The 13889-nt window shown below is 43.7% G+C and overlaps 1 annotated feature.

Annotated features, from left to right (window-relative positions):
* Positions 13062-13262: a silencer, noted in NCBI's record as "peak6214 fragment used in MPRA reporter construct". NCBI's record gives its function as "represses an SCP1 promoter by STARR-seq MPRAs in K562 erythroleukemia cells {active_cell/tissue: K562}" and the evidence as "EXISTENCE:reporter gene assay evidence [ECO:0000049][PMID:32103011]".

A 13889-nucleotide genomic window follows, 5' to 3' on the forward strand; every position in this document is an offset into this window, starting at 1 on the left:
TATGTTCCCAGGCCTTACCATGGCTATTTGTTTAGAGCCTGGTTCTAAGACATAAGTTCACAGACAAGTCAAACAATTACCAAAAATATCGCCGAGTCAAGTTTATGAACATAAAACATCTAGGAGAGCTAGCTTAAACCTGTTTGACCAGCAGACCCAGACAAAAATGTCTGAACTGTATTTAGTTCTGACAATTCTGAAGACATTCATATTTATTTTACCAACTATTTTAAAACTTACTTTTTTTTACCAAAAAAAAAATTTTATTAATTTTGGTAAATAAAAAGTTTTATTTACCAAAGACTTACTAAAGTCATGTGAGCTAAAAAGCATTGGAGTTAGTTTCCCTTTTCCTAAAAATGACATTGATTTAAGTGCTTACTTTCTCATTAAGTCAGTTAACTGGAGCTCTTTCATATATTTTGGTAGTGCAATATCACATACGCATGACACATATCAACATATAGACATAGAGACACACAGAGAGAAACAGGTCTTAAAGATTTATAAGACTCTTTGTTTGCCAGTTTTCAAGTAGCTTCCCTCTCTCCTTTAGACTAGCGATCATTTTCAAAGACATAGTTCTTAGATAAAATAAGGTGGAACATTTACATCTCAAAAGCACAGAACTTAATCTAAATACCATTATTTGCTGAGACAAAGGGCATAGGTAAAAGCCCAGTTAAGACAATATTGCCAGAAAAAGTGTCTTAAACAAGGTAAGGTTTTTAACGTAAATGTTAAGACTTTGTCTTCTTACTATAAACGTTTCTAGTAGTTTAGGTACAGAGAATGAGACACTCTTATAAATAGAGATTTCCTTTACAGATATAAATTTCTTTTACAAAGACTATCAAAATAGCCAGCTAAATGTAGACTGATTAATTTGATAGGTGGGCTTTTCAAGTTGGTTTGCTTCTTGATTAGATTACTGGCATGAAAGTTGAGCTGTTTGATGAATAGGGCAAAGGAAATCAGGCGTAGCTGGAAGGCAGAACACTTAGATCTCCCAAAATCAGGGATCCCATCTTTACACTGAATTATGGGTCCCCAAAAGAGGAAAGTGCCACTGGGCTGGACCCTGCAATACTTCCATAGTGCACCTCACTGCAGTGACATTCCCCCAAGGCTGGTGGGCAATTCAACACCAATCAGCTCACTCTGTGATCCTCCATCCCCCATGGGAGTCTCATCCCTCACTGAGGGGTGTTTCCATAGCTTCTAGGTGCCCAAATTATGCTTTTCATGTCAAAATGCACAAAGAAACAAGTATTCCTCTGTAGTAATAACCATCTATTGTGAACAACTGCTGTTAGCCATCTCTAACACTGTAGCTCTTGCCTGTGACTCACCAGCCATCACACACTAATGTCAAGTTCTCTAACAGTATAAAGTAACCTCTGGTAGACCCCAAAAGCCAAAGAGACTGGGTTATGCAATACAAAAGAGCAGAATTTTATATCTGAGAGGAATCTGTCTCTTTACAACTCTTGAGGTTTCATTAAAAAGTGAAAAGGAAAAATCAGAAGTCCCTGTGAGCCCCCTAAAAGAGGAGCCTTCAGCATCTCTTCTGTTTTCCTTAAGGGATCTCAGGCTGTTAGAAAATCTCTTTTTTGTTTTGTTTTGTTTTTTGGTCCCCTCTTGTGGCACTGAGGGTGGCAAGAGGAAGGAAAAACAGACAGAAGTAAATGGAAAAACAGAATTCAGTTGACTCATTTTTGCCTTTGGCTAAATAAAGTAGTCTATGGCTCCTACTGATTGGATGGTTTAGTGAGGCCCTTGGTTGGGCCCCAGGTTGGCCACAGCCCTGGTGGAGCACTGAGAAGACGTTGGAATTTGACTATAAAGGAAGTAAAAGTCATAAAAAGGCCTGTAATCCCAGCACTTTGGGAGGCTGAGGCGGGTGGATCATAAGGTCAGGAGATAGAGACCATCCTGGCTAACACGGTGAAACCCCATCTCTACTAAAAATACAAAAAATTAGCCAGGGGTGGTGGCATGCACCTGTAATCCCAGCTACTCGGGAGGCTGAGGCAGGAGAATCATTTGAACCTGGGAGGCGCAAGTTGCGGTGAGCCGAGATCACACCACTGCACTCCAGCCTGGAAGACAAAGCGAGACTCCATCTCAAAAAAAATTGTAACAAGGTAAAAGCCACCACAAAGGACATGCAGACCTCTGCTGGTCGCTTGGTGCCAAAAAAAGGCAACTATTGACTAAAGGGTTCTTATAAAGAATATTTTCCATTCTACTGCAGCAGCTGCTAGCTGCCTTTCCTTACCCCAGTGAGATAGATGGCTCTCAGTTAACAATCACTTGAAACCTGCCAGCATTTTTGGAGCGTCCCTGTACTCATGTGTTGGTCCACAAGCATCTACATGGGGAACCACACCACTCCACATAGAAGTGGCTGCCGCCCATGGATTTTCCCCCATGGATACTTCATTCCCTTCACTCATTTCTTGGTCTCTCAGCTCCTGGTTAACTCACCAAATATTCTGCAGTGGCAGATCTCTGCAAAACTAGCACTTAAGGCTGAGGAAGGCCAAGCGTGGTGGCTCATGCCTGTAATCCCAGCACTTTGGGAGGCCAAGGTGGGCGGATCACCTGAGGCCAGGAGTTCAAGACCAGCCTGGCCAACATGGCAAAACTCTGTCTCTACTAAAAATACAAAAATTGGCCAGGCATGGTGGTGCATGTCTGTAGTCTCAGGTACTCCTGAGAGGCTGAGGCGGGAAAATCGCTTGAACCTGGGAGGTGGAGGCTGCAGTGAGCCGAGATTGCACTATTGCATGCCAGCCTGGACAACAAGAGCGAAACTCGGTCTCAAAAAATAATAATAAAAAAACGTCTGAGGAAGCTGAGAGGCTGAAGGAAGAGGCTGACAAATCCAATTTCACAGGAAAAAACAAAACAAAACACTTAATAGGGACTTATGATCAGAAGCCATGTCTTAGGCAGCCAGAAGATGAGATGTCCCTGCACCATCAACCCCCAGGTGCAGGGCTCATATACCATAGGGAATTGGCCTAATGGAAGGACTTCTGATAAATGTGGGTTTCTGGTAACCATCAATGTTGTTTTGACTTAAGGACAGGATTTACGGTAATCACATGGAAATAGAAATCTTAGAGGCATTCCCGAAACTTGGGTTAATCAGAAATCAATATAGTGGCTTAGCATTCACCATGCTAAGTTTCTTTAGCCTTCACATAGAGTAACTCTTCTTTCTCTTACATTTTAGGTTAAGATGCAAGACTGGCTAGAAGGATAAGCAGTGGGAACAACGGCACAGGAGATGTCCTTATGGGTCCCCAACACTTTCTCTTTTGCCCTTTGGCAGGTGCTAGTGACAGGTGAGACCTGACCAGAAGTGGGAAAAAGGAAGTGAGATTTGATTTTCAGGAGATTTGATTGCAAACCTGATTATTATGTAAACTGGAACCAATTCTGACATATCTACTGTCCCAGTCTGACATTCCTAACCCATGCCAAACCCTGCACACGAGGGTATTTTTTAAAAAAGACCCAGAGTTTGTGTATTTTTGTTATTTTCCTGTCAGGCACTCAGGAGCCCTGGGATCTGCCATCTTATTATTCATCATTAGTGAAGGGAAGTCCCAACCACAGAGGAGAATTCCGAATAATATCTTCCCTTTGTAAACATTTCTGCCAATTTCTAAGGACTTTACTCATCTATCCTGAGCTTTGTAACCACTCTGTGAGGCAGGAAGAAAGAAAAGGTTTTGTCATCTTCACTTTATGAGTAAGAAAAATAAGATTGGAGAGGTTAATTGACTTGCCCAAGGCCAAACAGCCTGTAGGTGGTTGAGCAGAAATTTAATCCTGGGTCATCTGACTCCAGGGCTCAGTGCGGAGAACATTGACCTGGGAATCTGGGGATCTGGTTAATGTTTTAGATCTGCAGGTAACTCTCCTGCATCCCATGGTAACCACTTGTCACTGGAAAGTAGGAAGTTGGGGTCACCTGGGGGATCCCTAGGCTCTGTGATTCTCTCTGCTGATGGGAAGTGTGGGTATTCATTTTTCCCTCCCAATGCTCCCCAGTATTACTCAAGCTATGGAAATTAGGAATAGAGGTTAATACATTCCAGAGAGAATTTATTTCTTTCCTATAAGTACAGATATGGTGAAAAATCACTGAGGAATTAGCAAAATCCCTTGACAGCCCCAAACCTCCTGAAGTAACTTGTGCTGCCTGAATCTGAAGTTAAGCTCTGGCTTTGTCCTAAGCTGCTGGCGAGCTGCCCGTCTAATTACAACATGGCAGGAATCTCTGTTATGGCTTGCAGAGCAACAATGTGTTTTACCTGAAATTCACCTATGAAAACTGTCATTTTAGAGTGTGAGCAATGAGAGGCTGTTACAGAGTCTGAATTTGGGGTGTTGTGATTACTTTTTTTTTTTTGAGACAGAGTTTCACTCTTGTTGCCCAGGCTGGAGTGCAGTGGTGCGATCTTGGCTCACTGCAGCCTCCGCCTCCTGTGTTCAAGTGATTCTCCTGCCTCAGCCTCCCGAGTGGCTGGGATTACAGGCACGTGCCACCACGCCCGGCTCATTTTGTATTTTTAGTAGAGATGGGGTTTCTCCATGTTGGTCAGGCTGGTCTTGAACTCCCAACCTCAGGTGATCCGCCTGCCTCGGCCTCCCGAAGTGCTGGGATTATAGGCATGAGCCACTGTGCCCGGCCCTGTTGTGGTTACTTTGAACTTGATGTCACCCACTGAAGCCACCTCTGCATTTCCTTCAGTAGCCTTCCGCCAGTGTTCCTAACTCTACAAACTGAGTTTTTTTCGTTGGTAATGACACTTCAGCCTTCTGAATGCTGAATATTGCCTTGATTTCTATGGTAACATCCCAGAAGGGAGATCAAATGAATAGGTTCACATCATATCACATAAGCTCCATGTCAAATCCATGAGAGGAAATGGGTTTGGGCAAGACCAGCACCATCATCAACTTCCTGGCATCCCTGGCACTCCACCTCTCCTCAGCAACGCCCTCCTCCTCTCCTGGGACAACTTTGCTTTTCACATCACTCAGCTCTTCCTTGTTTTACAGCAGAGTGGTGGTAATTGATGTGAATGTTCTACTAAACAGACAGACGCGTGAGCCAGAGTCCTCTTAGTTAATAGACAGTTCAGTTCTATCAAGCTTGTTGAAATACTTTGCATTCTGATATACTTTTTAATTTTTTAATTTATTTTATTTATTTTTGAGACAAGATCTCAGCTCCGTCACCCAGGCTGGAGTGCAGTGGTGTGATTTCCACTCACTGCAGTCTCTACCTCCCAGGCTCAAGCAATCCTCCCACCTCAGCCTCCCGTGCGGCTGGGACCACAGTCATGTGTCACCATGCCTGACTAATTTTTTTTTTTTTTGTAGACATGGGGCTTCACCATGTTGCCCAGGGCTGTTCTCGACCTCCTGGATTCAAGCAATCCTTCCACCTCGGCCTCCCAAAGTGCTGGGATTACAGGCATGAGCCACCTCGCCACTGGCTGGACTCCTCCGATTGACTTCTATTCACCAGAATGTTGATGGCTCTGGTTCTCACCCTGTTGTTGTTTGCATGGGAATATTCCCTAGAAAAGAGATAAGGCCTCTCTCCTGCCTTTCTTCCACCCAGATTAAGACTGTGAGATGAAGACAGAAACAGCATCCGCTGAGGCACCTTCTCTTGTGAGTTCTCTGCTGCCAACAGACCTGGGGTGGGCACAGCGCGGGAGGCAGGTGATAAGGGGAAGTGAAAGCATCATTACAGCCGAGAGGCCTTAAAATGGTACAGAAGCCTGGCCTGACGCTGTGAGTCCAAACCTCTGGCTTTACAGGGTTTCTCTGAAATCTGGTCTGAGAGTTTAACTTCTTCCTTTCTGGTTGGACCCTTGAAGGTAGCATGATATAAGTAGCACACCAAAGTGTCAAGATTGGGATGAAAGCACATCTTCCTTAGAATAACTTTCTTAAGCACTATTTTAGGTCTCTGTGTCTTAAACCATGGGCTTCTTAGACTTTTGGACGCTATATGTAAGTTGTGACTCTTGAGGTTATATTTGTTTCCTGGGGCTGCCATGACAAAGCACCACAAAGCCAGTGGCTTAAAGAACAGGGATCCTCTCCAAGCTCCAGAGGCCAGAAACCAGACATCAGCTACACTCCCTCTGAACCTCGTAGAGAGAATCTTCCCTTGCCTCTTCTTAGCTGTTGGTGTCAGCCGACAATCCTTGGGTGTTCCTTGGCTTGTAGACACATCACTCCAATCTGCCTCCATCATCACAGAGCTGTTTCCCTGTGTCTGATATGAACACCAGGCCCATTTCCCTGGGTCTCTTATACAGATACCAGTCATGTTGGATTTGGGGCCCACCCTACTCCAGTATGACTTTATCCCAATTTACCTAATTATTTTGTGTTTCGTTTTGTTTGTTTGTTTTGAGACAAGGTCTTGCTCTGTTGCCCAGGATGGAGTGCAGTGGCGTGATCACAGCTCACTGCAGCCTCAACCTCACAGGCTCAAGTGATCCTCCTGACTCAGCCTCCAAAGTAGCTGAGATTACAGGCGCATGCCATGATGCCCAGCTAATTTTTGTACTACTTTTTGGTAGAGATGAGGTCTCCCTATGTTGCCCAGGCCGATCTCGAACTCCTGGGCTCAAGTGACCCACCCACCTTGGCTTCCCAAAGTGCCAGGCTTAAAGGCGTGAGCTACCCTGCCCAGCCTACTTTACCTAGTTACATCTGTAATGACACTGTTTCAAAATAAGTTCACATTCTGAGGTACTGGGGATTAAGACTTCAGCATATTTTTGGGGGGAACAATTTAACACGTAACAAGAAAGAATACAGAATCCAAGATTTCCTAGACATATGTGTCCAGAGGACTTTTTTTTTAAGTTGAGGGTCTCCCTCTGTTGCCCCAGCTGGAGTGCAGTGGCCCCATCACGGCTCACTGCAGCCTCAACTTCCTGGGCTCAAGCAATCCTCCCACCTCAGCCTCCAAAGTAGCTGCAACTACAGACACACACCTCTACGCCTGGCTAATTTTTTATTTTTTTTTATTTTTTGGAGAAATGGAGTCTGGCTATGTTGCCCAGGCTAGTCTCAAACTCCTGGGCTCCTCCTGCCTCAGCCTCCTAAAGCGCTGGGATTACAGGCATGAGCCATGGCACCAGGCCCAGAGATCGAAGATCAAAGAGAATGGTGTGGAACTACAGACCTGTGGAAGCTATTGGTAGAAGGATGCCCTTGGCTCTCCGAAATGCTTGCTCATAGACTTCTCCAGCTCACCTTAAATATTACTGTCAACATCACTGTCTTGTCGTTCAGGCTGTGACACCTTTATTCTTCCATTTCAATTTCCTAGAGGGCCATGGAGCTTGCCACCCACGAGAGGAACTCCTCCCTTTTGAGTGAGGTTGCACAATTGGCCTGTTCCTTCCAAGCTCATGAACTTGCTCTCTCAAACGGAAACTGGGACCCTCTCTAAGTGTGTGCCTGCCAGCTTGTGGTGGAGTCTGTTTTTTTTTTGTTTTTTTAAACAAGAGAGAATATTTTGCTTCTGCCAAGATTGACATGGCTTCAAAAGTGCAAACCATCTCACTGCAGCTGCTCTGCACCCTCCTGGACCCTCTAGTTATGCTCTGGTCTTTCCTCTGGTCTTTTTGAGACTGGCCTATGCACTGTTTCACCTGTTCTGTCCCTACTACTTCTTGAGGTGTCTTTGACTCCGCTGACTACTGTAGGACACCACACTCCCTTTGTCCTTGCAGCCTACTCTTTTGTTGTTGTTGTTGTTGTTGAGATGGAGTCTCGCTCTGTCGCCAGACTGGAGTGCAGTGGTGCAATCTCTGCTCACTGCAACCTCTGCTTCCTGGGTTCAAGCAATTCCCCTTCCTTAGCCTCCCGAGTAGCTAGGACTATAGGCGCGTGCCACTACGCCCAGCTAATTTTTGAATTTTCAGTAGAGACGGGGTTTCACCATGTTGGCCAGGATGGTCTTGATCTCTTGACCTCGTGATCCGCCTGCCTCGGCCTCCCAAAGTGCTGGGATTACAGGCGTGAGCCACTGCACCCGGCCACAGCCTACTCTTAGTTCCTTCTTAAGTCATCTTTTCCTGGCCTTGGTTACATAATGCAACTTGTACACGCCAGTGTGCCTTCCCAATCAAGACCAGTGTCTTTCAACCTTTTGTTACTAAGATCTACAATAAGAAGTTTGCTTTTATTTTATTATTATTATTTTTTTGAGATGGAGTCTCCCTCTGTTGCCCAGGCTGGAGTGCAGTGGTTGATCTTGGCTCACTGCAACCTCCATCTCCCAGGTTCAAGGGATTCTTCTGCCTCAGCCTCCCGAGTAGCTGGGACTATAGGCACACCACCAAGCCTGGCTAATTTTTGTACTTTTAGTAGAGATGAGGTTTCTCCATGTTGGCCAGGCTGGACTTGAACTCCTGACCTCAGATGATCCACTCGCCTCAGCCTCCCAGAGTGCTGGGATTACAGGCATGAGCCACTGTGCCCCACCAAGAAGTTTGCTTTTAATCCTGAAGCAATGCACATAGCCAAGAACATTTTTCACTACAGTAAGAATCATGAAATAGCTTTTACTGTTACAGAATGCCATGCACTCAATTTTCTTTTATAGTCTAGTCCAGCCTATGCTATTTCATTAATAAATGTTTAAGGTCATAAACCATTGTATTTTATTTCACTACCCATGACTGGGCTGCAACTTGCCTTTTGAGAAACAGTGTAGATGTAGGCAGGAATTTCTTGAATAATCTTCCTGCCTCTACTCTTCTCTCTAATTTATTTGTCCCAGTAGCAAGAGTGATCTTTTGCAAACCTAAATTAGATCAGGTCTCTCCAGTACTTAAACCCTTCAGAGTCTTTCATTCACTTAGCATAAAACCCAAACTCTTTATCATAGCCCACAAGCTCCTATCTAGAAAGGCCCTTTTCCAACTTCATTTTCTACTGCACTCAACCTGAACCACCCCACTCCAGCCTCAGCGGCCTTCTCTGTTCTGCCAATGCCTGCTAATCTTGACCATTGACTCTGATGCTTTTTGTCATTCAGTTCTCAGTCCCAAAGTTGTCTCCTCAGAAAGGCCTTTCCTGATCACCCTAGCTATGTCATATCACTGTTTATCAATTTACCCCTTTTCTGTTCCTCTTAGTACTTACTAGCTCCTGAAAGTATTTACTGGTTTGCTTGCTTGTTTGCTTTCCAGCTGTCCCACTAGGATATAACCTCCGCCGGAGGGGACTGTCCTAGACTCTGAGGGGAAGATTATCAACTGCACAGGACTTTATCAGGGAGAATTCTTGGGGTCAACACTGCAGGAGGCAGACGAAGAAGCAGGACTGGGCAGAGGGAGACATTGGGCTGTGATGTCATCACCACAGATGCCACAGCTCAGCCTACAGGGAGTTCTGAAGATAGGATCACCCTTCAGAACTGTCTAGATTTGGCTAGAGAGCCAGACCTTTGGATCCCTTGGTGACCAATAATTGGATGTAGAAAGAGGGAGTGATGCTGAACAAGACCCAGTGTGTCTTCAAATAGGTAAGACCTAGCAGGGATGACAGCTGGACTAGTGAGTGGTGGCTGCACTCCCTGGCTGGAGATGGAGACCCCATCACACCATCAGCCATGAGTTCCAAACCAGCCTTTTCACAACCATCACCCCAGCAAGGCGGACAGTACCAGTGCTCAGTAGTTGCCTCTGTTTTGGTGGCTATTGTTCTCCTGAAACTGCCTTTGCAAAGATTATGACAGCGAGATAATCTAGCCTGGCTGTGTCCACCTTACTTCTAGCCTCACAGGCTGGCTGTCCTCATTCATTCCTGGGTGTGGGCCAAGCTAACCTTGGGAAGCATTTAATTTATAGTTTAACTTTGAAGCAAGGATGATAATAGTCCCTCCCTAAAACTGACACCTTCCTTCTTCAGGGGCTTAAACCCTGACTAATGAAAGGCCACAAGATTAGGATTATGAGAGGGGCCTGCATTCTGCTAAAATGTAGGCATAGTTTCTATAATTTCTTACTGCTCAGGAGTCATATGGCCAGAGGTCACAGAATTTGTGACTTCCTCAATTGCTCTTAGAGATAATATCACTATTGTAGAATCTAAGATTGGTCTTTTGAGATGTTTTTAAAATTTTTGCATTCTGGCAACTCACCAACCCCATCCAGACCCATGACTCATGTCTCAGCCAGTCCTGTGGCCCCACCAAGAGGCAGACTCAGCATGCGAGGACCATTTCCCACACCCATATGATTTTACCCCCAGCTAATCAGCAGCACCCATTTCCTAGCCCCCTGCCTGCCTGCCAAATTATTCATAAAAACCCTAGCTTCCGAGTTCTTGGGAAGGATGTTGTGGGTAATAAACTCTATCTTCTGCGTGGCTAACCTCATGTTAATTTAACTCTTTCTTTACTGCCATACTGCCATCTCAGTGAATTGGTTTTCTCGGTGCAGTGGGCAGGAAGAACCTGTTGGGCAATTACACTCTGACCTCCCCTCTCCCTTCAGCTTCCTACTTAGTTTCCCATTACCAACCTCAAAGTCACTCTGCTTGGATAACTTGATTCTCTCCTGATGTCTACATCTTCCCTTGAATGGGATCCCATTCCCCTACTACTCACCAACTCCTAAAATCAAGATCAGACTCTCCCACCACCTTCTTTGGGCCACATTCTAGGATTCCTTGCCCCTTACCCAAAGGCCAATAGCTCTTCATTCTCAACAGCCACAGGAGGCCCTCAACCACCCAGTTCCTTGTGCTGCCAGAAGGTGTTGTTGTTGCTCTAAGGGCAAAAGTTGTATAGAGCATTTTGATAAAAATCCAAGTGGCTACTTGAGATTTGCTTTCCTTAACATCTCATTGCCTATAATGTTCAATAATGATACTGTGCTTTGGTAATATGATGATGACATTTTTGAAGATAGAGCCATATTTTCACAGTCCGTCCATGCTGGGCAGGTCCCTTCTGACATTTGTAATACTGAAGTAAAATGAATAACAGGAATGGGCAAGAAGGGGCTGGCCTCTTATTTTATAGGCAAGGAACATCACTATTGGCCCAGCACTACTTTTGAGTTTTTTGGGGGGAAGGTGGTAATAAAGATATAAAAGATATAAAAGAGCTAAGAAAAATGGGCCTTGTTTTTAAGAAATGTGCAATCTGGTTGATAACTCTTTCTTTTTATATATAATAATAACATTGCTTTCATAAAACTTGTTCTATGCACTTTACACATATTAATTCAGTTACATCTTATGGGCTGGGTACTGTGATTGTTCCATTTTACAGAGGAGAAAACTGAGGCACAAAGGAGTTAAGTAACCTGCTTAAGTTCACACCACTGGCACGTGGCAAATTCAGGACTGAAACACAGGCAGCTTGACCCAGACCATGCACTACATTACATGATATTATGTTTCTTCACTAATGACTCTAGACCCTTGAACACCAGTAAGGGAGTTTTAATATATTAAATAATATATATTTTTAACTTTTAAAATTTATAGAAATATTATGTATTGATTTTTGAAAATATGAAAAGTGTTGAACAATATAAATAGGAAAATTGAAAATCAAGTATGACTCAGAGATCACCAGTATTAATATTTTGATCCATGCCCTAAGTTGTTCTATGCACATTTCTAATACTCATATAGTCCTTTAAAATTTAATATTGTATTATAGGTTTTATATAAAATTTTGAAATGTAAAGTTTTATGGCTAATGTTATTTTCAATTTACTTTTATAATTTCCCATTTATTTCTTCATATTATTAAATATTTCACAAAACAGTATTTTGCTTTTTAATAGTACATCACAATTTATTTAATCACCTTTTTGGTATTGCTGTTTATTGTTGTTTTCAATTTTGTGCTATTATAAGTAGTGCTGAAATGAGCACTTTTATGCAAAAAGCTTCTTTTGCATTTCAGACTCTTTGAGGTTTATTTCTAAATTTTTTTTTGTTTAAAATTACCTTTCAAATGATATTTAATGAATATTGGCAATTTTCTTTTCACAAAAGCTGTATCAATTTACATACCCCAGATGTGTATGAAATGAGAAAGACTACTTTATCTCACTCTTGCCAAACTTGACTATTATATTTTAATATAATTCCATGAGTCTAGCTGAGTTGGTATACTGATTAGAGTAATTTAACATGGTATTCTGTTGTTAATTTACATTTCTTTGCTGTTGGGTTTGAACATTTTTTTTTCACTAAAAAATGTTGTTTAAGTTTTTTAAGAATAGTAGAGACATGGTCTCACTATGTTACCCAGGCTGGTCTCAAACTCCTGGGCTCAAGCAATCCTCCCACCTCAGCCACTCTCAGAGCTGAGATGTGCTACAGCTATACCTCTTTTAACAAAGACTCATTGACAAAGACTCTCTCCTTGACCACACTCAAGTCAGCTCCTCAGGGCCCCCTTTTCAACTAAGTCCTGACCTTGGACTCTGCCCTTGGCCTACTTAGTCCAGGTTTAGCAAGAATACTGCTGGGTCAGTTTATCTAAGATTCCCCCTACCCTCAATATCTGACCAAATTCCTCAAACTTCACTCTTGGTTTCTGACCATCTTTGATATCTGATCAAATTCCTCTTCCCCACCCTTGATGTCTTATCACCCTGGCCTGCTTTCAGCAATAATCCCCCTAGCCTTGAGGTATCCTCTTAGTAATTTTCCATCTACTGACCCCTTGCTCTACTCCTTGGCTGTAAATCTCCACTTGTCCTTGTTGTATTTGGAGTTGAGCCCAATCTCTCTCCCCTATAGCAAAACCCCCATTGCAATACTTTCTTGTGTGAGACAAAGTAGCAAACATAAGAAACCTTATTTGTTCATTTCTGCTTGCTCACATAATTTCACAAAACCCCTGCCTCTGTGATGATGTGCAGCTTTGAAGACAAACCAAGATAGAGAACACGGCCTCCCACATCTCTTCCCTGACTCACTGTATTCCTTAAAAGATAAATAACCCTAATCCTTGCCTCTTCCTACATAGGAGATAAAAAGTCTGACAGAGTTAGCGATTGTACCTCTGTAATTTATAACCAGATATGCTCTTACACCCAGACTTTGATGTAGTTCTGTGATAATGTGACTTCTGAGCAAGTCTGATGTGCTTTTGCACACTCTGACACCCTGCCATCTCTATGTAAGCAGTGGGTTGAAACACTGTTCTGGGCAGTCTAACAGGAATGCTCCTGGGCTATTGGCCTCAGTCTCTGTCCTCAAGACTTCTGAATAAAACTACTTTAATTCTTTAAAACCTTGATTTTTTTGTTTGTTTAGGTGACACTTGAATAGTCTTTCTTACCATCCAACAAATTTCAGGATGAATTTTTCTGTAATGTTGTAGACTACTGCAGGAGGACTGCAGATTGATGAACAATTTGGAAGCCTGCTTGGTATTACTTTGTAAAGATGAGTGTTTGCCTACCCTATGACCACACTCTCCCACCTAGGACACTCTTCTCAAGGGGTACCAGGACCACTGCAGCCACCACGTGGGGCAGGAAGTTGGGCACTGTGCAACTTCAGGAAGGTGCCTTTTACATCACAGGTGTCTAGCTGGTATGAGCATGGTGGTGATGCAGGATTTTTCTTGGCCCCTTTGCCGGACTCACAGAAGGGGTGCCCATCTACTCAGCCCACTGTGCTCAGCCCCTTGTGGGTAGGTGCATGTGAGCTAGTGAGTGCAAAATCCAGCCCATGGCTCTGGGCACTGACACAGGAGCAAACTCCGTGCAGGGCTTGTGGCCAGACCAGCTGTGTCACCTTGAGGGGAATGCAGCAGCACCCAGGTGAGGGTGCCTGCAACCCTGAGG

This window comes from Homo sapiens, chromosome 6, assembly GCF_000001405.40.
Source record: "Homo sapiens chromosome 6, GRCh38.p14 Primary Assembly".
NCBI lineage: Eukaryota > Metazoa > Chordata > Mammalia > Primates > Hominidae > Homo > Homo sapiens.